Here is a 26,368-nt window from a genome sequence, read left to right as displayed (position 1 = left end):
TTTCCAGAAACGTAGTAGCCAGGTCACCACCCACATCTCACTAAGGAGCTATAGATGTGCACTTTTCAGAACCTGCACCCATTCCCTGCCCACATGGCCTGCCTGGATGGGAGGGGAGAGGGAATGGGGCTTAGGATACAGTGGGCAAGGCCACAAAAGATTGGGCAAGAATCTTTTTGTATTTCTTGAGAATCTTTGTTTTTTGATCCCTTAGGGTTTGGCCCAGAGCATCAAAGCACAAGTTCAGACATTTCTCTTGTAAACCCTCAAGTCTGTTGTTGTTTTTCTAAGTGAAAAAACCCAGCACCATGTGTTTCTCATTCTATTTACTCCACAGTTAAGAAAACATTGCAAAGGATGGGGGAGGACTCAGGTCTAAACAGATCTGGGTGCTGGATGAAGCCCCCTTCTTTCTCCTGTACACGGACAGCTCCCTAACATGAATCTCAGGAAGACTCAGCAGGGCTGTCATGTAGAGGTCAGAGCATCCAAATGTGCACCTTTTTTTTTTTTTTTTTTTTTTTTTTTTTTGAGATGGAGTCTCACTCTGTGGCCCAGGCTGGAGTGCAGTGGCATGATCTCAGCTCACTGCAACCTCTGCTTCCCGGTTCAAGCAATTCTCCTGCCTCAGCCTCCTGAGTAGCTGGAATTATGGGCACACATCACCACACCCAGCTAATTTTTGTATTTTTAGTAGAGTTGGGGTTTCACCATGTTGGTCAGGCTGGTCTCGAACTCCTGACCTCAATTGATCCACCCACCTTGGCCTCCCAAAGTGCTGGGATTACAGGCATGAGCCAGCATGGCCAGCCCAAACACGCATCTTACAGCAAACCTCTCTTTGCTACCTTTGCAGGAATCCTTCTCTAATTCATTCTCTCCCAGCTGCAATAGTGATTGGTCTAAAATAGACATCTGATCATTTTACTCTCTTTCTTAAAATCCATAAAAGTTGTTTTATTTTCTTCCATTATAACACAAAGTCCTTGAGCTTGGTTCCCAAACTCCTAAGCCCCTATGAGGTGCATCCTCTGCTAAGCCCTCTGCTCTCGTGTCTTCTCACATTCTGTGCCCCACCTGAGCAAGTGGGTTCCTGCAGATTCTCCATTCTGTCTTTTCATCTGGACTCATCCATCCCCTCCTTTCAGCCCAGAAGATGCATCCCTGATCTTATATTCTGTAGTGGGTGAATAGCATCCCCCCAAAATTCATGCTTATGTGGAACTTCAGAACATGACATTACTTGGAAATAGGGTCTTTGCAGATGGAATGAGTTAAGAATCTCTAGGTAAAATCATTCTGAATTTAGCTTGGGCCCTAAATCCAGTGACTGACATCATTGTAAGAAAAGGAGAAGACACAGAGAGATGCAAAGGGAAGAAAGCCAAGCGAAGACGGGCAGAGATTGGAGTCATGCAATACAATCAAGCCAAGGAATGGAATGAACAAGCCAAGAAATGCCAAAGATTTCCAGTAACCAGCAAACACTTAGAGAGAGGCAAGGAACAGGTTCATCCTCAGAGTCTCCAGAATAAGCCAACACTGAAAATACTTTGATTTTGGACTTCTGGCCTCCTGAACTGTGAGAGAATAAATTTCTGTTGTTTTGAGCTACCCTGTTTGTGGTATATGCTATGGCAGCCCCAGATAATGCATCTACTTTCTCTTCCAAGCCTCTTCACCTGGCCCATCCTAAGAGTAGCACTACACAGTGCAGGCCCTCGATCAGGCAGCCTGGGTTCTACTCCTGACTTCGGTTCTACTCCTGACTTCACCAGCTTTTATGCCTATGGCATTTGGCAAGTTACTCAACCCCTCTGAGCCTCACTTTCAGAAACTTAAAATGGGGCTAATAATTATACCTATATCATAGGTATACCCTATCATATTATCGGGCTCCAGGGGAACTTAAGGGAGTTACCACATATAAAGTGCTCAGAACAGTGTCTGCCACCTACAAAGTGCTTGGTGCATGTTAGCAAATCCTTGAGTTTGGACCTCACTCTGTGGTCAGATTAATGATGGCTGTAAATTCACTGATACTTCTCCAATGAGAAATGGGGTCTAATTCTACTTCCATTGAGTCTGGACTGTCTCCATGACTATTTTGACTAGTAGAGTAAGGCAGAAATAACTCAGTTCTGACTTTAGACTTTAGAAAGACAAGTAGCTCCCACCTTGGTCTTGGAATCTTACTGGAGAGGTACTAAGCCTATGTGGAGGACAGAGGTGCATGCAGGCCAGGCTTTCCAGCCATCTCTCCAAGATGTCCAGATGAAGCAGCCATCTTGGAAGTGGGTGCTCCGACCTCAGCTGTCCCAGCTGATGCCACGTGGATCACAGATGAACCACCTAGCTGAGCCTTTCCCAGCTTCTTGAACCATAACATTGTGAGCAAAAGAAAATGATTGTTTTAACACACTGACTTGTGGGTAGTTTGTTATTGCAGCAAGAAATAGCTGAAATGCCTCCTGTAATGAAGCTGCCTGGATTTTCCAAGTCTCAGATTTGTGGCTTTTCTGTGTGCTTAGTGCTGCTGGCTTGCTTACACAAGACTCAGTCTATATTTAATAATAGCACCTATGATAATAATAACTGATATTTAGCTGAGTGGATGGTTCAGTTCTTTCTGAATTGAAGGGAGGGGTGGTTTGAATTTTCCATGGGATTCACATGGAGGCCTTGCCCAGATAATAGTTGGGCTTAGAGAAGCCAAGCAGAATGCCTACTCCCAGTGAAAACTCACTCTCCAGAGGAAGTGGGCAAGAACTGCATTGAGCATGTCCAGGCTTTCCTCCCTGGGCAGGACGTACGAGGGGCCAGGGAGACCAGGAGTGATTTCCCATAGGAGGAACAACCAGGAGTTCAGAAGGACTCTTGTTCTACCTGCAGCTGTCACCTCCTTCTGCCACCACTGCACTTTTTTTCTATATTCTACAAGTTGTCCTGGCATGGACTCAAATTTGGAACACAGCCCTTTTCTTCACCAAACATGCTCACATACACATGCATGCACACGCACACACAGCCTCTGTTTGTAGCAGAATTTAGTATAAAGCTTTAAGTATATGGAAGAAAAGTTATTCACAGTAAGACAAACAATTTAGAATTGTAGTTGTCTGGCTCTTTGTCATGATTCTTTGTCTTTTTTTTCTTTTCTCCCCACCCCTCAGTCATGAATCCATCTTTATTTTTAACACCTTCTGATTTATTGTGTCTTACTTATGTCCTCGATATTCCAATACCAATCTCATGTTGCTGATCAAAGTCATTTCCTTAAAAATCATCTCTGCTACATGTTACCTCAGTAGGCTTCTTGGACCATCATATCAAAAATGACCAATTTCCCCCTCTCTACTTCTTTATTTTATTCCAAGCACCAATCCTTAACTGATATTATACATATTTTATGATTTATAATTGTCTTTCTCTGCATCAGAATGCAAACTTGAGTAGGACTGGAACATTGTTATCTTTACCGTTAAATCTGCACAGCCCAAAAGAGCACAAGCACATCCCAGGGGCTCAATAGATGTTTGTTGTAAAAATGAATAAATGAAGTGAAGAGACTCTGGTGCCAACTATTAATATCTTTTAAAAATTTATTTTGCTATATAGTAAATTATGAGGAGACTGCTTATTACTAAAAATTGAGTGTCCGCAGGCTGAGTCTGAAAGCTGAGTCAGAATTAGCAGGATCAGGTCTGTGTAAGGACCGTGGGTGAAGAGCAGTTGGGCCATGGCACCCCTCCTGCATCAGCCCCTGCCCACCACTGCCCCAGTTCCACAATGAGATACCCTTTTCTCTCCCTCTCCTGCTGCCTCCCCTGATGTCAGCCTAACCATGGTCAGGGCTGAGGTTTGGCAGATAATGCTTCAGGGCTTTTGCATCTTTACAGCAAACCCACAGGCCAGGGCTATTCAATGGATCTGTAAGAGGGAAATTCTGTCTCGTGGCTGGACAATGTGCTGGAGCAATCTGTGCTGGTCCTGTGGTACCCACAGCTCACCCACATGAGCTCACTCATAAGCCCTGCAAGACCCCATAAATGTTGAGTAAGACCAGCCTGCCTCGGGCTTGGGATAGATTTGTGGTTGATTAGAGGCACCCAAAGCCAACACTGGAACTCAGACTTAAATCTCCTGAACCTCATGTTCTTCAGTTGTTGATTTTGTTTCCCTGCCATGAAGAACCCTGGAAGGATGACCAGATATTCCAGGACTTGAGTGAAAACCTGCCTCAGTCTTGATTGTCCTCACAGCCCATCCGTGGACCATAGACTTGGAGCTGGTAGGTTTCAGACACTATCTAGATGACTCACATATTTCACAGATGGCAAAGCTGAGTCCAAGAAAGGCTAAAACCAAACTAGCAAGAAAGGCTGGCTTAGAGGTCTATTTCCACAGGCCCAATGTCAACTTGAGGCGAGGTGGAGGGGAGGCCTCAGCAGTCCTGTTAGCATTGGACAGAGCAGGGGCAGATACTGCTTTGCCATTTTCAGTATGAGTGACTTCCAGGGGTTCAGTCGGTTGCTCTGAACATCAGTATTCTCATCTGTAAAATGGGATGAAAACACACATTTCAAAAGAGCTTGGGAAGATTGAATGAGAGAACTGTCAGTATGAAAAATCCAGTTGACTTTCTCAACTCCAATGCCCTTTCCATCCCCACTTCCTTGAAGAAAAGGCTGCTGTTATTCCCATTTCACTCAAAGAGGTTCAGTAGGTTGGGCAAAACACACAGCAAATATGGGCAAAACAAGAATCTGAAATTCAAATTCCCCCCAAAGTACCATCTCCCCCAGTATACAATGAGTGGTTATTAAACATTAGTTCTCATCACTACAGTTAATAACCGCTCAACAATGATTTATTAAGTGCCTACTCTGTGCCAGGCACGTCTCACACTGAAGATATGATAATGTCAAAGGCAAACTGAGCTGCTCTTACAAAGGAAATTCAGATCATAAATATCTACCAAAATCAATAAAACAATGTGAGGTCTTATTAAGTGCTGTGATGGCAAAAAAAATAAGGGAACGTGGTAGAGCATGGCTAGGAGGCAGCACATTCCTTAGCTAGGTTCAGGGAAGACCAGGCAAAGTGGGTGCCCTTGAGTTGGTATCTGAATAACAAGAAAGAGGCAGAATGAGATAGTCTGGGGGAAGAGCACTTCATGCAAAGAAAACAGAGGACACTAAGTCCTGAGATGTGAGTGTGGGATATTTGGAGACAAAAGAAAAGTAGCTGTGGAGAAGGACAGTGAATGGAGGGGATGTGGAGTAAGGTGAGGAAGGGGAATTAGGCAGGATCCAGATGCTCAAGGGCCTTGCTGACCACAGAGATAGCTTAGGTTTAGTTCTAGGTAGAATGGGGACCCACTCAAGAGCTCTACACATGAGGGTGACATAATCCACTCACTTTCACAAGAAGACTGCCTTGTGTGTGGAGAAAATAAAGAGAACATTGTTTAACCCTTGCTCTTGAGACACTGAGCTGAAGGATTTTAGGGGCTGAGCCTGGTTCCCTATTTCCATATTAACCCCCAGAAGGCAGAAATACAGAATGGAAATCCAGAAGGGTTTTTCTCCGGCTGTCCCAGTCATCTCAGACACCTGAATTCTCTGAGTTCTCTACTGGAGCCCTAACTTTTGGCCATAACTCATTGTATTTATCTATGTGTGCACTCAGTGATGCTGCTCTTTCGGTTTGAGAGGCAGGATCCAGAGCCCTGCACCCCACTTGGAGAGGGGCACATCCAGTGGAAACTGAATGTTGCAAGAGTGTGGCCATTTGGGGACAGGGGTGATCAGCTCAGCCCTTGATGTCTCTTTTGGGGGAAGCCCATGGTAGGTAAAGAGATCACCATCAAGGAGTGAGTGGTCTTAGGAAATCAAGAGGCCTCAATTAATTAGTTAACTAAGACTTAGTGGAAGACCTGGTGCTTAATTCTGGGGGTCTAGAGATGAGCAAGACCTGGTTTATTAAGGATCCCACAGTCCCCTGAGGAAGACAGGCAACTAAGCCAATAGGAATGATCCCCATGTGCTGGGCGATCACCATGGGTCCTATAGCTCCTGCCATGCAGAGTGGCCCACCCTCCACAGTCCAGCTCCTGCCCCATTCCAGTAGGACCGTGCCCTCTTCTAGCCCCCTTCACAGAGGTGAAGTGATGCCGTGTGCTATTGCTGGGTCCCTGGTGCTTCCACATCCCTTCTTTACAACTCAATCAACTGTCCCTCCATGGATGCCTCTTCAAGTCCCCTTTGGACATGCTTCCTATTTCCTTCAGGTATATTGCCTGATGTGTTCGGGGTCAGGCCTTGTGGGAAGCACAGGAAGCAAAGTCCAATCAGATCCAGACCCTACCTTCAAAAAACATGCAGACAGGTTGGGGGTGCAGCTCATTCCATTACAGAACAGATCACAGGGTGAAAAGGGTCAGGATAGCATAATAATGGGATCACAGAGGAGACAGCATAGCAATCAGAGATGGGGTGGCGAGAAGGGGAGGGAAACAGGGAGGGATAAGAAGGTGTAGCTGGACAAAGAAGGTGTCTGGGCAATAGAAACAGTGTGTGGGCAGAGAATTAGAGGAGCTACTTGAACCTCACTAAGATGAAAGAGAAAGTGTAGGAGGAAACTGGGGAAGATTAGACTGGGAAACCAGGTAGTAGCCATGCCACTGAGACCCTTAGATAGCTAAGGAACTTGGAAATTCTTCTGAGGGAATGGGAGAAGGCTGTTTGGGTTTTATGGTAGAGACAGAATCAGATTTGTGATTTGGAAAGATCATATATGGAAGGTAGATTTTGAGGAGTTAGGAGGAATCAGATAGTGAGACTCCAGGCAAAGAGAGACAAGCAAGGATTAGTGGAAGCTTGGGCTAAGGTAGTGACAGAAGATGAGGAGCGAACAGCCATGAACAGAGACAATAGAACTTGGAGACTGATGGTCATGGGCCACGGAGATGGGGAAGGGATCTCTGTTGGTTATCCATCTTTTCCTTCTGATTCAACAAATTTGATGAATGATGATTTTTATTAACAGAAATTAGGAAAGTTGAATAAGAGTCAGCATTGGAGAAAAAAAAAAACATCAAAAATCTTGTTTTGGACATAGTAAGTGAGAAGAAGCCCACGAGACAACCTGAGAAGGAATATCAAGAAGACAGTTGGTGACATGGGGTGGCATCTGTTCTGGAAAAGAGCTCAAGGGGCATGAGAGGCAAGGCTGAGGAGAGCTAGTTTCTGCAGCCACGCTTTATCTGAGCAAGGGGCTCACACCAGCTTTCATCCTCTGTAGCAGAAGACAGAATCTTGTAAAATCCATAGTCAGATAATTCACACACTGACAAACCTTATCTGTCCTCTCCAAAGCCCATTCCTATTCTGTATAGGCCCTCATCTTGTGAGATAACAGAAAACATAATTTCTATGCAGCCTCATAGTAGAGTTGGAATGAAAGGGAGGGGAGAGGGAGGAGGTGGGTCACGGGGCCTGGCACGGGACCCTTGGAGGAGATGTGGTTTTCAAGCTGGCGTAGCGTCTTCCTGTGAGCAGACCAAGGCCTGGGCCAGCAGCATCACTCCTGCAGCCAAAGACGATGAGGGGAACCAAGTGCCAGGGGAAAAATTCTTCCAAGTCATTTATTTTCCAAAATCCTCAAGGATCTGAGTATTTTTTTTGGAAATAACTGCGTTGAGTTTTGAACTTTTTAAGGGTCTCTTCTCTGCTCTGGTGACCTCATACATTCCAGTGGTTTTAAATACCATGGGATGCCAGCAACTCCCAAATGTGTACCTCCCACCCAGGCCTCTCCTCTGAACCATAGACTCATATGCCCAACGGATGTGTCATGGACACCCCAGGGACAGCATGTGCAAAACTGAGCTCTTGGTGGGATCTCCAAAATGTTCCTCCACAGTCTTTTTATGTTAGTCAATGGTAACACCATCCGCTTGGTTGCTAATGCCAGAACAATGGAGATGTTTCTTCATTTCCTTATCTAATCTCTTAACAAATCCTTTTGACTACAAGATCCTCCTTGGATCTTGAGTCTTGTAATTCCTCTCCTTCCCATTGCTGTCACCACTCTGGTCCAAGCTTTCTCTCTACTCCCTGCAAAATGCCAGCACCTGCTATTCCATCAGTCTGTTTTCTACACTTCCCCACCTTCAACCTACATTGCACCCAGCAGCCTCTGAGGTCTTCTCCTGCCCCACCATGGTGATCTTTCAAAAACATAACTGTAGTCTTGTAACTCCCACATTTAAAACACATCAAAGGCTTCACATTGCTCTGAGAATAAGGTCCCCACTGCTGATGATGGCCTGATTCCTGCCTGCCTTTCTTCCCTTCTGGCCAATAATCACCCCATTTGCTCACTTTGCTGCAGCTGCCCGAACCTCATGAGTCAAATCTTCAGGCAGGTCAAGCTCCCTGCTGCTCCAGACCTGCATCCTGAGATTCCTTCTGCCCAGAGTGCCTTTCCTGGCCAACACTTTTCCATTCTTCATATCTCTATGGAAATGCTGTCTCCTCCAAGAGCCTCCCTGACCAGCCGGTCTGCTGAGGACCACCCCCAAGCCCCACTGTTGCCTATTACAGCTTACTTCTGACCACAGTGTAAAATCATTCACTTCCCTGTTTATTTCCAGTCTTCCACAGTGTACCATGGGTTCCACAGGGCAGAGACCATGCAGTCTTGTCATCACTGTCATCTCAGTAGACTTCTTGCTAGCCATGGTGGGCCAGAGATCTCACTCCCCTTTCTCTCCCACCCCTACTATTTTATTGGTTATATTTAATTAAAAATATAATATTTATAATATCATAAGGTTTAAAATTAAATATTTACAACATGTAGAATTTAAAATATTTTAATTTTTAATTGTTTATTATGATTAGAGCTTTATATATTATCCACTTCAAGCTACTATTTTTAAGCCATCGTATTTACATGGGACCTATTTATTTTCCACTGTGTAGAATAAGAAAATCAGTACCCCAAAACTTTCCCTTATTTTTCCTCACTCTTTCTGCTTCTCTCTCTCTACTTCCTCACAACTTCTATTGGTCATTCTATCACAGGAAAGGGTTCTTTTTTTGTGTTTTTCTTCTTCTTCTTTTTTATTTGACTTTAAGTTCTGGGATACATGTGCATGTGGGAGTTTTTTGTGTTTTTAATTTCACCCTCCCAGTGGTCTGCCCCGCCTCCAGCTCCTCTGAGTACTGGCTGCCCCAGGCCTGTGTCTTACTCATTTCTTTGTGGGGCTGTCCTTTCCATGAGGCGTTGGAAGTTTAAGTCCTACTCATTGCATTTTCACTGTCATTACAATTTTATTTTACTCAACAATGTATAATGTTCATTTATTGAGTCAGTAGGTTATATATCTAATGTTATCTTTTATTTTCTCTGAACTTTTTAATGCTCGTCGATGCACATACATGGGATTATATTGTACATGCTTTTGGTCTCATGGTCCTGCTTTTTGTCTTCCTTTCCTTTTTTACTCTCTTTACCTTCTTCCTGTCATATGATGAGACCCCTCCCCCACCCCAACCCTTGAACCCACTCTGAGTAATTTGTTACCAACCCGACAGTCACTCCCTCTGACTTTTCACTCTGCTTTGCACAAATGTGTGCATCCATGTATAGTTTTTTTATTATTGTTTGCTTTGCCAAAAATGACATCATATGATATAAAAACAATTCTTTGTATCTACTTTTAGTGCTTAATAATATGTTATGGAAATCTAATAATATAATCCAAATACAGTCTCTTAAATAATCACATAATGCACCATGGCATAATGTAGCATTATTTGTTTAAACCTTCACCTGACTGTGTGTGTTTGTATCTTGATGTGCTGATGTTTAATTTCTATGGAATTGAGTCACAAAAGTAGAATTGCTGGATAAAAGAATATATGTGTGTTAGTTCATTCTCACACTGCTACAAAGAACTACCTGAGTCTGAGTAATTTATGACGAAAGCAGGTTTCATTGACTCACAATTCTTCAGACTTAATAGGAAGCATGACTGGGAGGCCTCAGGAAACTTACAATCTTGGTGAAAGGCGAAGGGGAAGCAAGGCACCTTCATCACATGGCAGAGCAGGAGGAAGAGTGAGAGAGCGAAGCGGGAAGGGCCACACACTTAAAATTCAGCAAATCTCGTGAGAACTCACTGTCACGAGAACAGCGTGGGGGAAATCCGCCCCCATGATCCAATCACCATCCACCTGGTCCCTCCCCTGAAACATGGGGATTAAAATTTAAAATGAGATTTGGGTGGGAACACAGAGCCAAACCATATTAATATGTTTTACAGTTTTAATAGATGTTGCCCTATTGATTTATACAAATGCTGTGACAATTTGCATTTCCACCAGCAATATATGCAAACGTTCTTTTCATGGAACACTTACCAGCAACAAGTGTTAATGCTCTTTTTAGGTATGCCAGCTGGATGAATGTAAAATAATGTCTCATTAATTACATGAAATTTATATTAATTTTTATTTCCCTGACTTCTAGTGAATTTAAGTATCTTTTACTATGTTTATTGTTCATTTGGATTGCTTTATTTTACACTTTTTCCTATTTTTTATTGGGTGGTTTGTGTTTTTCCTGTCAATTTGTAGTACGAATCTTTGAATATTACAGCTCTTCATTCTCTACCTGTCCTTATTGTCTGTGGCAGTAAAGTTTGTATATTGGATTAAATTAACTCTCTAGTAACCCTCTGCATTGGTTAACCAAAGAAAAATGCTCTATGCCTCAAATCTATTTCCCTCCCATTTTTCTACCTATACTCGTCTCTATTTTCCTTCACTGTCCTGGGAAGTATCAGGGTAGATAGAAAGGAGGAAACAGACATTTATAAGCACATTCTACTTGCCAGTGAATTAATGGGTAGTTTATATGTTACATCATTTAATTAAATAAAATTAAAATATTTTTAATCACCATTTTACTGATGGGAATACAGAGGCTCAGAGAGGTTAATTTACTTCTCAAGGTTGGGTTAAGGAAATGTCAGAGATAAGATTTGAACCTGTATCTATCTGGTTCTAAAGTGTTCTTTCAGATGCCCTCCTCAGGCTGCTAGTCTCATGGGAGACTCACAGCCACCCTAAGGGACCATGGGGCAGGCTTCCTCATCCTCTTTCCACAGGCAAGAGCCCTGCACTCAGAGCAGCTGAATGACATGGTCAGGGACACAAACTGAGATTGCAAACCTACAGCTTCTGTCTTTAAACCTGGAACTGTTTTGAATCTGGTGTCTGTCCACCTCTTTTCTCTTGAGTTAGGAGCATTGGGGTAGGTTGGCATGGGGGAGCCACTCGGCATCTCATGTCCTTCAGTGAATTCTCTGCTATCCAGAGCCACAGAGGTAGCACATGATTTGCCAAGGGACTGCAAGGACCTCTCCCTCTCTTCAGCAGATCTTCCCCTCTGAGGGCTTCGGTGGGCAGGAGAGAGAGGAGAAACACACATAACGGAGGAGCTCTGAAATCCCCGGGCCAAAAATAACCTCCTTTCCCCCAACCTCCACTCCCACCCTCCATCCAAGGGGAGTGGCGGCAAAGTTTCAGAAACTCTGAAATGACTCAAAGAAACAGAAAAGTGTTCTAGTTGTCCAATATTTACATAAGGAGCTGGTTCAGTTTTCCTTTCCTGCTGTTAACATCTGAGCTGGCACACAGACGTGGACACCTGCCCACATCCACCAATAGATGTGCACCTGGATGCACGTGTGTTGTACATGCAGACACAGTGTGTACGGCACCCATCCCCACACACCTCAGGCTGCAGCACAGCAGTGAGTGGCAGCCAGGGCTGCTGGGAGGTGTCCATCCCCAGGCTCAAGCTGTGTGTCTTTGTTCTTCACACCAGAGTCTACTGTTGGGTTTCTTCAGAAGCAGCCTCTGCAATAAGAATATGAGTGCAAGGGATTTGTAAGGCAGGTGATCTGAGCAATGCCACTAAGGGAATGGGCAGGTGAGGCAGGGACTTAAAGGAAACCAGTCAGGGAACATTGTCAACTCACAGCAGTGACCATGGGCAACCAGGTCACAATTCCACTGTGGTGTTCTGGGAGAAGGTGGATGGCACACCTCAGAATTGCCTCACTCAAGATGGAGGAAGCTGAAATATGCACCAATCAACTCCCTTTCTGCTGTGGTTGAGGATTGCTTCCTGGAGATTACTGTGGCAAGAGAAACATGAGCTTCCATATTACCTTGTATAATGCACAGGGCAAGAACCCAGCCAGGCCAAGAAACATGCTCTTTACATCCAAAAAAAGGCTTCAATCCTAGCTCTGTTTCTTGCCTATTTGATACCTTGAATAATTTCTTCCCTCTGAGCCTCTAATTCTCTTATCTATAAAATGGGTAGGATACTTTCCCCGACAAGATTGGAATAGGGATTTGATGAAATAATGCAGGTCAATGAACTTGCCCAAGATTGGCTCTCAAAAGAGACTGATATTTTGTCTCACCACCTACATTGCTTTCATTGTTTGCTGGTTTCCCTTTATCTTTCGAACCTCTGTTAGGATGCCCAGGGCTCAGTCTTCAGGCCTCTACTCTTGTCTAGGACACATGCCCTTGGCGATCTCATCCAACTTCAAAGCCTTAAATGTCTAGCGTAACCCTCAGCACTCCCATGCTCATGTGCCTCCTTTGCCGTCTTCAAAATAGAACTGGAATGTGACCACAGCTCACGTTCCCTGTCATTGCCCTGGTCCAAACCCTCGTCTTTTGCTTGGATGCTTGCATTAGCTTCCTGACTCTCCATCCTTGCTCCCTGTACAGCTTTTTCTCTACACAAATACCAGAAGCATCCTGTTAAAATCCAAGCTGGATGACGCCACTCTATTTAGTCTGCTAATACCTTCTCATTACTCCTAAAGAAAAAGCCCAAGTCTTTACATAGGTTTACAATGTGACTGGACCCAAATCTCAAATCTCCTCTCCTCCATGTTTTCTTCTGCTCACTCTGTCTCAGCTATTCTCACCTCCTTCTGTTCCTCACACAGTCTAAGCACCCTCTTGCTTCAGGGGCTTTGCACATGCTGTTCCCTCTGCCTGAGTGTTCTTCCCCCAGACATCAACCTGTCTCGCTCCTTCACCTCCTTCAAGACTTAGCTCAAATATTACCTTCTCAATGAGGTCTGCCTTATGCATTCTATTTCAAATTGCATGGCCGTCCCATCACACCTCCCTGTTTTGTTATTCTCCATAGCACTGACAGACATCTACTGTATTGTAACATTTCTGCTTTTTCTTATTCATTGTCTATTTTCAGCTCACCTAACCCCCAGTAGAATATAACTCTATGGGTGCATTGTTTTTTGCCTGTTCTGATCATGGATGTATTCTAGAATAATTCCTGGTAATAGCAAGTACTCAACCATTTGTAGAATGAATGAATAAACAGATTAATTAAATAATTAATTAATTAATGGTGTGGTGATTAAGATCTTGATTTTGGGAATCTTATGTATCAATTCAATTCTTATTTCCACAACTTTCTGTCTGTTACCTTGTACACATTACTCATCTAAGTCTTACTTTCCTGTTCTATGAAATGGGGGAGAGGATAGTACCTAACACTTAAGGCTCTTGTGAAGACAGGTGAGATAAGATATATTAGACATTCAGACAATGACTGGCACATGATATGTGCTCAAAAAAAGACAGATTTTCTTTTTTCTTTTTCTTTCTTTCTTTTTTTTTGAAATGGAGTTTTGCTCTTGTTGCCCAGGCTGGAATGCAATGGTGCCATCTCGGCTCGCCACAACCTCTGCCTCCCAGGTTTAAGCAATTCTCCTGTCTCACCCACCCGAGTAGCTGGGATTACAGGCATGCACCACCACACCCAGCTAATTTTGTATTTTTAGTAGAGATGGGGTTTCACCATGTTGGTCAGGCTAGTCATGAACTCCCGACCTCAGGTGATCCACCTGCCTTGCCCTCCCAAAGTGCTGGGATTACAGGCGTGAGCCATAGTGCCCGGCCAGATTTTCTTTTTTAAGTTTCTCTTTCAATTTCATCGTCAATGGCTTCACAGATATTTTAGTGAAAAACTGAAACAGCTCATGATATACAGCAAATATAATAACCCCCCAAAAAAGGAATGAAAGTATATATAAATAATTAGTGTTATCTTTAAATTTATACACATCCACACATAGAGACAAAAGGCCAGAAGGATATACATCAAAATATTTAAAATGGTTATTTTTGGAATTTTTGTTGGGTTTACTGGTGACTTTCAATTTTTTAGTTATAATTTTTTTTTACATTTTAAATGTGTGACTTTTTAAAATAAAAAAGCAATGAACATTTTTTAAGAAAAAAATAACAAACTTCAGTAAAATGTGGCTTTAACACTGATACACTTATCCCCGTTAAGAATGTTTATTGATTACATTTTAACTTTCATGAGTCAGAGAATTCACACTCTGACAAACCTGATCTGTCCTCTCCAAAGCCCATATTCTTATTCTGTATAGGTTAAGTAGCAGTTTCCGTATGTCAAGCCAAAGCTTTCTTTCCCAGCCACTTCCTTTAAGTCACCCAAAATAACATTGGAAATTAAAATGTATAGCAGCAAAAAATAGTATGCAGCATACAAATAAGTCACTTATAAATTATCTTGTAATAGCCAAAAAACAGTGGTTTGGATTCAGGCAAGGGGCTATAGGTCTTTCTCTCACCACCTTGAGCAGCCTGTGCAAAGCTGTTATTTCCTGGCCACCCAACAAGCAAGGACCAAATCCTGGAAGAGAACATTAACATCAGGTCATGACATTGGCAAACAGAATTCAGATGTCACTCAGTGAGAGAGAAGTCCCTTGACCGTCTATCCCAAAGAGACTGCACATGTATACGCAGTGACTCCATTTGTCAAGAAATGACTAAATTATGTTTTCTGTTATCTGGCAAGATGAGGGCCCAAAGTAGACTTTAAGTTGGACTTTTGTTTGTCTGTTTCTGTGACTGTGAAATTTGTAATCCACTGCATTGATAATCAGAAGTTCCCTCTGGTAATGAGCTTCCCATTTGAAACCTTCCCTTCCCTTCCCTCCCCTCCCCTCCCCTCCCCTTCCCTCCCCTGCCCTCCCCTCCCCTCCCTTCCCTTCCCTTCCATTCCCTTCCCTCTTTCTTTTCTTTTCTTTTTTTTGGACAGAGTCATGCTCTGTTGGCCAGGCTGGAGTGCCATGGTGTGATCTCAGCTCACTGCAACCTCCGCCTCCCAGGTTCAAGCAATTCTCCTGCCTCAGCCTCCCGAGTAGCTGGGATTACAGGTGCCCACCATTACGCCCAGCTAATATTTTGTATTTCTAGTAGAGACGGGGTTTCACCATGTTGGCCAGGCTAGTCTTGAACTCCCAGCCATGGGTGATCTGCCTACCTTGGCCTCTTAAAGTGCTGGGATTATAGGCATGAGCCACAGTGCCTGGCCCCATTTGAGATTTTTCAATGAGGCTAACTCAACCAGTAAGCAGTAACATCTATTTTCCATGGCCCAGCCTTTGCTTCATGGGCCATGTGGAGCTCTACTTTGGATTGCCCAAGACCATAAGGTCCCTAGAACCTGGCAGCAAATGGACTTAATGCAGAAATCAAGGGCAGATACAGAAGGGAGGGACAGAGTAGTGGAAGAACAGAGGCACTAGGAGAGGGGATTTAGGGAGATAGGAGGCTATGTGAAGTTGTCCTTTGACTCTGCTCATGGTCTATTGAGTGCTAAGAAGAGGTGGCTACAGGCATAGATAGAACATTCAGTTTGTCCAGAGGAATTGCTGGCCTGGCAAGGGGGCCTCCAGGGTGTCTTATAGCAGCAAGGTTCTAAATGCATGAGTGAGTGTGCATGTGTGTAGGGGGAGTGTATGGAGGTGGGTGGGAGGGATACCCCCCCCAGGGGAGCATATAAACCATTGGCAGTGGAAGGGCACCAGCCAGTCAGCAGATAACCTATGGGTGTGCTTGCAGGCTATAAATAACCAGTAGAGGTGTGTCGATGCATTCCAGCTGAATATCAGCACTGCTTCTCTTGTCATTAGCAGGACGTACACACTGTGGTAGTGCAGGGCAGCATAGCTCAGGACAATAACCTGCATATAGGCTACAGCTCCAAGCACAGTAGGTAGCACCATCCTGGGAGTAAAGTGGGACCTTTTGAGGCAGGCATTTTCAAGCCACTTCATGATGCATCAAGATGGCTGGGTCTGAATATAAAATGACTGCCCGTATTGCTGCCTAATGTACTCAACAAATATTCATGAGTCTTACCTGTGAGCCCGACCTAGCCATACTCTCACCTCAGGGTTAGGGGAAAGGATTAGGAACAGAGAAATCATCTTGGACAGATGAGGTGTCTGGGGTGCATATTCTATGGAACTAAGAAGCAGACGCTGTAATGGTTTCTCTGTTGGAGATGGTCTCAGTGGTCCCCTTTCCCGGAGATGATGTTGCTTCTACTTGGCTCTGGGGTGATGGGTCTCCACAGCGGTTGTAAGTAGGAGAGACAGAAAGGGAAGACAGAGCAAATACAGCCACAAGGACACTAATGGAACCTTGAAGGCACTCTCCAGGACCTCTTGGGGAGAGTACAGAGGTTTTAATGGGTAGATCTTTGGATACAGAGTCTGAAGAAATGGCAGTGTGAGCTTTGTTCCAGGGAAGAGGGCCAGGCAGGAGGGAAAAAGTAGATGGATGTGATAAAGGGTCTACATGGTTTCTCCCAAGCTTTTGGAAAGGAATACGGGGCCTCAGAGGCACAGTCTGAAGGCAGGGTGAGCAGATTCAATTGTGAGACACATTGTAGTAAGTGGTGGGCCCACACGCTTTCGGAATGAGTCAGGGACTGCCTGCTTACAGTGGTTATTTTCCACCCCAGCCCATATGGGCTGATTCTGAGCTTCAGAGGAAACCACTTGGCAAGAGGCAGCCTGAGAAATCTCAAATCCTATACAAATTTCTTCCTCTTCTGCACGCTACCTGACCTCCAGCCCTAGCACATGTAAGCACACATGTGCACGGCACACACACATCCCTCCCGGAACAGCACAAGGGAGTACATCCACATGCAATCACACACACATGTGACCTTCAACTCCAACACATGTATACCCGCTCCCCTGACACACATGCAGAAATAGAGCATCGACTCACTCACCCCCTCATTCACACTGCGCTGGAGTGAAAGGAAGAAGTCACAGAGCACATGCCCCAGGGAAGCTCCACTGGATACGGGACCCTCTGTTATCATTAGTAGAGTTGGGAGAGGTAGGGAGTGAATCTGCTGAAGTGCACACTAAGGAACTACTAGAATTTTAAAGCCTCAGAAATGTTGTTTTGGTGGGGCTAAAGATGGAAAACAGGGGTGGATGTCTCTTTGATGTAGAAAAATGCCATGTGAGCTATTTGGATTAAGAAAAGCAAACTTTTCTCCCTACCCTTCTCAGAGTGTGAACATAAGCTATTTCTAGATGAAGACAACTTTCCTGATAACATAATCGTAATTTCAGACTTTTTTCTGATGGGAAGGAAAATGGGTGGATGGCTCTTTGGTGTAGAAAAATGCCATGCGAGTCTCTTGGGTTAAGAAAAGCAAAACTTTTCTCCCTTCCCTCCTCAGGGCATGAACATAGGCTAGTCATAGATGAAGACAACTTTCCTGATAACATAATCATAATTTCAGATTTTTTTCTGGTGGGAAGAGGGAGGGAGAGGCCACAATCTGGAAAGAGAAGAGGAAGAGAATATAGGAACATTTCTTAGTAGGAAAGTTCCACAGGCTAGTGGGAGGCTGGGCTTGGGGAGAAGGATGGACACTGTAGTTGTCCAGTGGTATGATGGCCAAGAGCTCAGAATGATCTTGTGTTACTTATCCAGTGTTTCCCTGATCTTTTGTGGGTCATATTTATGACTCGGCCTTTAGGAAGACTCCTACTACTAAAGCAACTGGGTTTGGGAAAAGGAGGGTGAGAATCGAAGCCATGGATGGGGGAGGCATTTCAGGGAGAAGGCAGCAGAGGCAGGAGGCAGACACTGAGTGAGGAGGACTGGAATTTAGAGGGTCACACGCTGGAGGTGGGCACAGGAGGATGGCCTGTCTGGGCATCACCATTGGCCAGGCATCAGTGTTGGAAACGAATTCCAGTGTTGGCATGGTGTTGGTTTTCTTGCTAAAAGGAAACTTCCAAGGCCAGGTTGGCAAGAGGAGAGGACACAGGAAACTCACCCTTCCATCACCTCTGAGAGGCAGAGTGACTTCCCAGGGAAGGGGCACAGCCTCACTATGAGAAAGCAGCCTTCTCAGTGGAGAGGTTAATTGCCAGGCACCTCAGTGCATTTGGGTGTCAGTTGTTTATAGCTGTTGTGTGGGAAACCGGCTGCTCCATGCTTGGATATCTTGAGCACCATGAAAAGTTGCAGTCCCTGCCACCGGGGATGAAAGATCCAGTCTAGCGGGAAGCTCAGCCCAAGTGGAGCCCCTCTAGCTGGGAGGAGAGGGCTCTTGGTCCCTGAAAGTTTATTGTCCAGGCAGCACATAGTGCGTTCCCCAGGCCATTGCCAGACAATCTCTCTTATTGCTCTTTCCAGAGTTCACAGGGAGGGCAATTGACTTCCCAAGGTATGAGAGATGGCAACTGGAGCCATTTATTCTCATTAAAAGAAAAGGTGACCACAAAAAGGACTGGAGAGAGTCTGGGAAAATGAGGTCATTTATACAGGCTCCAGAGTCACAGATATCTGTTTGACACCTTTCAGCCCTTGAACAACTCACCATCCAGAGAGGGAGACAGGTGTGTAACTGATTGCAAGTCGATGTTCTAAGTGGTAAATGGCACCAGTGATATTCTGTAGGAGAGTTGAGAAGCGAGTTCCCAGCTTCCTAGAGAGGCCAAGGCAGGGTTCACAGAAAGGGAGATGTGAAAAGGAAGAGGAGGTCACCAGGGAGAAGAGAGGAGAGCATGCCAGGCAGGGCAGGAATGCCACCTGAGCAGAGGCAGGAGATGTGAATAAGCCTGACCCGGAAGTTGGGGTTGACGTCTGCGAGAAGCTGTTCTGGAACAACATTCTTTCTCAACCTCTGCCAAGCTGAGTGTCTACAACCAGAAACACTAAGATTTCTGCCAGGAGGCGCTGGCTTTGGGTGGTTAATAGCCCAGGTTTGCCTGCTGCCTTCTCTCACTGTCTTTTCAGAGTAGAAGGGGTGGCTTGCTAGTTGGAGGAAATTCTGCATCTTTCAGACAGACAATGAGTTGAGGATAGGTAATGGCTACCACAGCAATGTGACTGGCCAGCGTGGTAGAGAAATGTCGTCACCAGAAGAGAACTCGGTTGAGTAAGTCCAGACGAGTCTGCTGTAACTGGCTGAGGAAGTTGTGTCCTGCACAATAGTATCAGCTTAGTTCCTGTTGGGGAAGAGTCATGGTGGAACTCCAGCCCTTGCTCTGCCCACCAAGCCACAATCCTAGAGGGTGGGCCTCCACAGAGTGGGGGACCTTTTTCTAAGTGAAACACGGGCTCTATATTGATGAGTAAAGGTCCCAGAACCGCTGGCCTGGATCTAGGAGTCCTATGTTCTAGTTCTTCCTTCACTCCCCAGGAGGGTCTGTCCCAACTGGAGAAATGGTTCTACTTCCCCACTGACTTATGAAACACAGTGTGACATAGTGGGTCAGAGGAGGAATACAATGAACAAAAATACGCCGTGGAGTTGATGTCAGATAAATGACTCACAGGAGACCCCAAGGGCCAGCTTTGTGACCCTCGGCAAGTTCCTCTCCCTTTCTGAGCCTGAGTGTTTCTATTTGTGAAATGGGGATGATAATCTGTACCCTGGACAACCTGCCATAGCTGTTGTAAGGTTCAGACAAGTCATGAGCATTCGCAGCCTATGAGCACTCACAAGATGGTAGTGTGTGTGTATGTGCGTCCGGAAGTGGAAGTCTGGTCTCTGATAAACTGTGTGTGAAGTCACTGTGGGGGCAGGGGTCGTATTATATCGTACCCAAGATTCCTGCCAGCCCTGCCAGGACCTCAATTAGCAGGTGTCCATGTTACGCGGGCTGAGGTCGGCCAGGCTCAGCCACTGTCAACCTGTTGGGGGTGCCTTACTCCCTTCAAACTTCAGTTTCCATCTTAAAAATGGGAGAGGAGGGGAAGTGAGATGATCTTAAATGTTCTTTCAAACTCTGACATTTTCCAAGAACTGAATTTCTATACAATTCAGTCTGTGGTGTGACTATTTGGGACCTTCAGAACATCTGTTTAGTTCTCAATGAGGAGGTCAAAATGAGGCTGAGGAATGTCCAGCAAAAGGGAAGGCCCGCAGGATAAAACATGGTGACGTTGTAACATGAATATTTAACTCTACGTGCTAGGTAAACAGTCATGATGCATCAAATACCCACAGATGCAAGCCAACTACTTTTTTTTATAATGAACCAAAGAAACAGGGATCTACTCCCACACTGGAGAAAAAAACAGATTGTGTTAGAGCTGAGAGGCTATACCCTGCACCACAACTGTATGTCTATGGACATAATAGACATTCAACGTAATTTTGACAATCTAGGATTTTCACTTAAGATATCAGAACCTAACTTCCTCCCAACAATGCAGGATTCAGTACTAGCCTAGTATAAAGTGATTAAAAATGGTTTAGAATGGCCAGGCGTGGTGGGTCACGCCTGTAATCCCAGCACTTTGGGAGGCTGAGGTGGGCAGATCATGAGGTCAGGAGATCGAGACCATCCTGGCTAACATGGTGAAACCCCGTCTCTACTAAAAATACAAAAAATTAGCCAGGTGTGGTGGCGGGCGCCTGTAGTCCTAGGTACTCGGGAGGCTGAGGCAGGAGAATGGCGTGAACCCAGGAGGCGGAGCTTGCAGTGATCCGAGATCATGCCACTGCACTCCAGCCTGGGTGACAGAGCAAGACTCTGTCTCAAAAAAAAAAAAAAAAAGGTTTAGAATAATTAATGACATGGTAAATGTCCATATTTTATTTAAAAGTTTTTTAAAAAAGCAGATTACAAAATAATAGCAGATGAATCACTTTTGTTTACACATGAAAATAGTTACATGCTATAGGGATATGTTTTTAAACATATCAAGTCTGTGAGGAGTATAGGTAACAAAAATTGTACCGTATAGTTGCCCGTCGGTATCCATGGGGGAGGGGTTCCAGGATCTCTGCCTATGTGAAAAGTTGTGATGCTTAAATTCTTTATATAAAATGGTGTATTACTTGCATATAAATTACACACAGTGTCATATAGTACTTTCTTTCTTTTTCTTTGCGTTCTTTTTAGAGATGGAGTGTCTCACTATATTGCCCAGGTTGGTCTTGAGCTCCTGTGTTTAAGTGATTATCCTGCCTCAGCCTCCCAACTAGCTGGGATTATAAAGGTGCACCACTGTGCCTACTTTAATCACCTCTATATAAATAGCTGTTCCACTGTATTGTTTTTCATTTGTACTGTTTTTTTATTGTTGTTAATTTATTTATTTATTTATTTATTTTTTGAGGTGGAGTTTCACTGTTATTGCCCAGGCTGGAGTGCGGTGGTGTGATCTCAGCTCACTGCAGCCTCTGCCTCCTGGATTCAAGTGATTCTCCTGCCTCAGCCTCCTGAGTAGCTAGGATTACAGGCATGGGCCACCACGCCTGGCTAGTTTTTTGTATTTTTAGTAGAGACGGGGTTTCACCATGTTGGCCAGGCTGGGCTTGAAATCCTGACCTCAGGTGATCCATCTGCCTTGGCGTCCCAAAGTGCTGAGATTATAGGAGTGAGCCACTGTGCCCGGCCTATTATTTTTTAAATATTCTTTATCTGTGGTTGGTTGAAATGATGGATGTAGAACCCATGAGTTTGGAGTGCTGACTGTACATGGGGTTCATGCTAGATGAGTAGATTTATGCTGCTCTTGCCAGAAGAACAAAAACCAGGTGCTAGATATGTTCATTTGCTTCATGGTGGTGACCTTTTTACTATCTAAATGTGTACCATAACACTATATTGTATACGTTAAATATACACAATGACATTTCTTTAAAACATAAATAAACAGGCCAAGCTTGGAAGGCTATATTTCAAAACGTTATGAGAAGCTCTCTCTGGGTGTTGGGGTTTGGGTATTATTTCTCTCTTTTTTGTTTGTCTGCCTTTTTAAATAATCTTTAATGCCTCTGTAATCAAAGTTATAAGTCAATCCAAGAAGCCATCTGGGGAAGAATTCCCAGAAGGATTCCACGGGGCATGCCAATGGCTGGGAGGAGAGACCATGCTAACCCTGCTCATTCTCCTAACTGCTAACACATGTCAGAGCTATTTGGGGTCCTGATGTCACCTGGCGAGCCAGCTCGGCTGCGGTTATGATGTCATTCACTGCCTGGCTGGCGGCTCTGTGGCCAGTGAAGTCACCAGGGAGGAGAGTTCATGGTGGCCCCTTATTCCCTCCAGAGCTGTCTCCCGGCTTCTGCCCACAGGAAAACCCAAAGAGATACCCAAGGGGCTCCACAGCTGCACGTGGAGCAGCTGACAGGAGCCATGCCTGGGCCTGGAGGCCTGGGGGATGTTTTCTGGCCTTAGGCCTAAGCCTTCTTGGTCCTGCCCAACCTGCTGACTTCCTGCCACTGCACAATCGAGAGACAGTGCTCAAATAACAGCTGAATCGCCTGGGCTTTACAGGAGATTTTCTTGGTCACTTTTGACTATTCCCCAGTGCCCTGGAGGGCTGACCCCTGACATTGCCTCATCCTCCTGACGCCTCTGCCCGACAGCAGCCCCTTGGTGCCCTGCATGGTAACAACCCATCCCCAAGGGCCTGGGCAGATGTCCTTCCTCCTCTGATTGCAGAAGTGGCCACGCTTGGGCCCTCATGCCAGACTGTTTTGGTCTAAATCCCTCCTACAGCAGCATGGCCTCGGGCAGGACCTCTCAGGAATTGGGTGAAACGGATTTTTCACTGTTCATTTCTTGTGGGAATGACATGAAGAATTGTATGTACAAGTAAGTGGAGCAATACCTGACAGTTTGGCTTCTGTCGGGTGATTATTTACTGTCTGTTAAGCAAATCATCCACTTCTCCTGCATCTCAGAACCCTCACTCCTTCTGGATGTTTGGGAGTGCTCTGGCAACTTAACTTTCCTATGTAAACTCTCCCAGCCTCAGCTTCTCACTGGGGAAAGGGGAATGAAGACAGTTATTAATAACAGAACAAATATCTAATACTAACACTAGAAGTGAACTCAGAAAGAAACATTTGGCTTGGTCTCCTTTCCCAGGTGCCATGGAGATGTTTACAGAGGAGGTCATTGAAAAGCCAGGCAGTTTTTCTGGGTTCTTTTTAGCCCCACTGATGGAGCTGGACCATACCTCTGTCTAAACCATCATGCACCCACATTTTTGATCCAGTTTCAATTCTTGCGAGCAAGAAAAGAGGTTGACAAGGAGAAGAGTGGCGGGTTTTGCCTTTCTGGCATGTGGAACAACAACTAAAAGATTCTGACCCCAAAGTGTTTAAGCATGACCTTCTTGAGATGTCCAAGTTTAAGAGGGGACAAGGGACAAGCTCTCTCCAGCAGTCTCCTCCACCAACTCCCAATCACCACCAGCCACGTCATGACCCATGCAACGGATATGGGGTGTCACATGATTGTATGGGGGCATCTGTGGGAATGAAGTTATGACATTCTTTTTTTTTTTTTTTTTTTTTTTTTGAGACAGAGTCTCACTCTGTCGCCCAGGCTGGAGTGCAGTAGTGCGATCTCGGCTCACTGCAAGCTCCGCCTCCTGGGTTCATGCCATTCTCCTGCCTCAGCCTCCCGAGTAGCTGGGACTACAGGCGCCTGCCACCACACCTGGCTAATTTTTTGTATATTTAGTAGAGACGGGGTTTCACCATGTTGGCCAGGATGGTCTTGATCTCTTGACCTTGTGATCCACCTGCCTTGGCCTCCCAAAGTGCTGGGATTACAGGCATGAGCCACCGTGCCCGGCCAGGACATTCTTTTAACATGGAGCTGATAGGATGTTTGGGGAAAATCTTTACTTTGTGTGGAACATGACTGGACTCTCATTGCATGGGATTTGCTTAGTCGCAATACATTCTCCACAGACTGTCCTGGCCAAAAGGCCTTGGTCCTAATTTATCCTGCCTGGCACCCTGGAGGCCACAGCCTCAGGGGCCAGGAGCCTTTGTAGCCTCAGAATAAGATAACTTGAAGGGTGGTCTGTGGAGCCGCTAGCATAGTGCCTGACTCAGCGACACCTATCCATGGTGGTGACGTCGGCACTTCTGGTGTGCTTGGTGAATGGACGTATTTGCCAAAGAGGTGGGTGTTTCTGTCTTCCTCATAATCTGGAGGCTTTGTGTATTACTTTTCTGTTGCCAGTATGAAATATGACCACATATTTAGTGGTTTAAAATAATCCATAGTAGCATCTCACATTTTTTGCAGGTCAGAAGACTAACATGGGCCATACCACGTTTAACTCAAGGTGTCAGCAGGCCTGCCTTCCTTATAGGAGGCTCTGGTGAAAAATTGACTTCCAAGCTCCAAGTTCCAGGTAGAACCAGCTCCTTGCTGTTGTAGGACGGAAGTTTTTCTTTCCCTGCTGGCTATCAGCTGGGGGCCACCCTTAGCTCCCAGAGGCCTCTGCTGGTCCTTGTATGTGTGCTCCCATGTCTCAGATTCAGCAATAATGTGCGGAATCCTTCTCGAGCTTGAGATAGCTGCGCCCTCCCCTTCTGCCTTCCTCTTCCTCTGACTGCTCAGACTTTGGCCAGAGAAAGTTCTCTGTTGTTAAGGGATCATATGATTAGACTGGGCCCCAACTAGATGATTCAGAAATCTCTTGATGTTAAGCGTCCTAACCTTCATCACATCTGTGAAGTGCCTTTTGTCATGTAACTAACAGAAACCATTCATGGGCCGCAGGCATTAGGGCATGAATGCCTTGTCGGGCCATTATTCAGTCTACCACACACCACAGTGAATTTAGTCTCACTGTGAGAATGGACAGAGACTTTGAGCTGGGGATATCTGAGCTCTTCCTCACTCTCTCAGAAAGATCCATCGAGCAAGAAATAGATGTGCCAAGAACTTTTCTAAATGTTTGGGATACAAAATGGAAATGCTAAGACCACTAAGAAGGAGGAAGAGGAAGAGGAGAAAGAGGAACTGACTCTTGAACGTCTATTATTGCCAGACACACTTTCTGCATTCTTTGTAATGCCCAAACGGCATCTCATTACACACATGAGAAAGCTGGGGCTCTGGGGTTCAGGGGTTGAGAAACTGGCCAAGATCATCCAGCTTCTATGTTGCAGTCAGGACTCACCCTTCCTCTCCTCTCTGACTCTCCAGACTTTTGACCATCGAGATACCTCCAGTCCAGTCTACAGAGGAAGCACCACACCTGCTGGGACGAAGCCTTGGCACCTCCCCGCCAGGGTTCATTTTCCCTCTTCCCCCAGGGCTGAGGCTGTCTAGAACTGGAGGCATGTGACTCACCTTGGTCTGAGTTTGTTACCTTCCAAGGGACTCATAGAGGTTTCTGGAGACGTCTGGAAGGAACAGCTGGCTGGCCTGTGGTCCCTCACCTGGATGACCAGAGTTCTTCTGCAGAAGCCAGGGGAGACTTTGCTGACGGGCATGCTCTGGGCCCTGAAGTCTCCTCTGGCCAAATTTACATGTACTTGGCTGTCCAGGTGCATTCCTTCCTCTTTTTAATGACCCAGTGTACTATTTATAGCTCTTCCTTTAAAGGGCAATGAGCTGTGGGCTTCAGTCCTCAGACTAAAGTCTTACAAAGAACTTGGAACAGATTAAGTGCTTTACACACACTGTGGAACAAAGTCAGAAAAGCCATGGTGAAAAGCCAGCAACATCCAGATAAAAAGTGCAGAATCATGAGATTCACCTCCAGTTTCGAATATTCTTCTTCATTATGGCAATCACCTCTAGAGCAGTTGCAGTGTAACAGATACTTTTGTGTGCTTTTTATGTACATTAATTTATTTACTCCTTACAACAACCCTGAGAGAGGGACATTTATATATTTTATCACTAACGTAGGACATGCTCAGAGACGTTAAGTAACTCGTTTTAGGACACAGAGCTAGAAAGGAGCAGAGGCTGGCTTCAAACACAGGTGTGTCCTCTGCCAGTGCTCACTTGTGTTCTTTTCACCAGGCCACACAGAGGGACCAGCAATTCCTCCAAGTCCATGATTCTATTTTTTTGTTTGTTTGTTTTTGAGACAGAGTCTCACTCTGTCACTCAGGCTGGAGTACAATGGCACAATCTTGGCTCACTGCAATC

General features: G+C 45.1%; 1 long non-coding RNA gene across 2 annotated transcripts, besides 1 other annotated feature; it reads right to left on the bottom strand.

Moving 5' to 3' along the window:
• Positions 1-4,469: 4,469 nt before the first annotated feature.
• On the bottom strand, positions 4,470-25,731 carry LOC105375769 (uncharacterized). 2 transcript variants are annotated; one of them, XR_001746095.3, is made up of 4 exons: positions 25,559-25,731; positions 14,735-14,796; positions 11,812-11,936; positions 4,470-4,555 (listed from the first exon to the last, which is right to left on the bottom strand). It is a non-coding gene; the product is annotated as an uncharacterized LOC105375769 (long non-coding RNA). The 2 variants fall into 2 exon arrangements; XR_928667.4 differs by lacking the exon at positions 14,735-14,796.
• Positions 24,661-25,162: an enhancer, noted in NCBI's record as "NANOG hESC enhancer chr8:134157066-134157567 (GRCh37/hg19 assembly coordinates)". NCBI's record gives its function as "activates a minimal SCP1, AML or CMV promoter by ChIP-STARR-seq in primed H9 embryonic stem cells {active_cell/tissue: H9 hESC(primed)}" and the evidence as "EXISTENCE:reporter gene assay evidence [ECO:0000049][PMID:30033119]".
• Positions 25,732-26,368: the final 637 nt, after the last annotated feature.

Source organism: Homo sapiens, chromosome 8 (genome assembly GCF_000001405.40).
Source record: "Homo sapiens chromosome 8, GRCh38.p14 Primary Assembly".
Taxonomy (NCBI): Eukaryota; Metazoa; Chordata; class Mammalia; order Primates; family Hominidae; genus Homo; species Homo sapiens.
The sequence above is the reverse complement of the archived record's forward strand: the minus strand, read 5'-3'. Positions and strand labels throughout refer to the sequence as shown.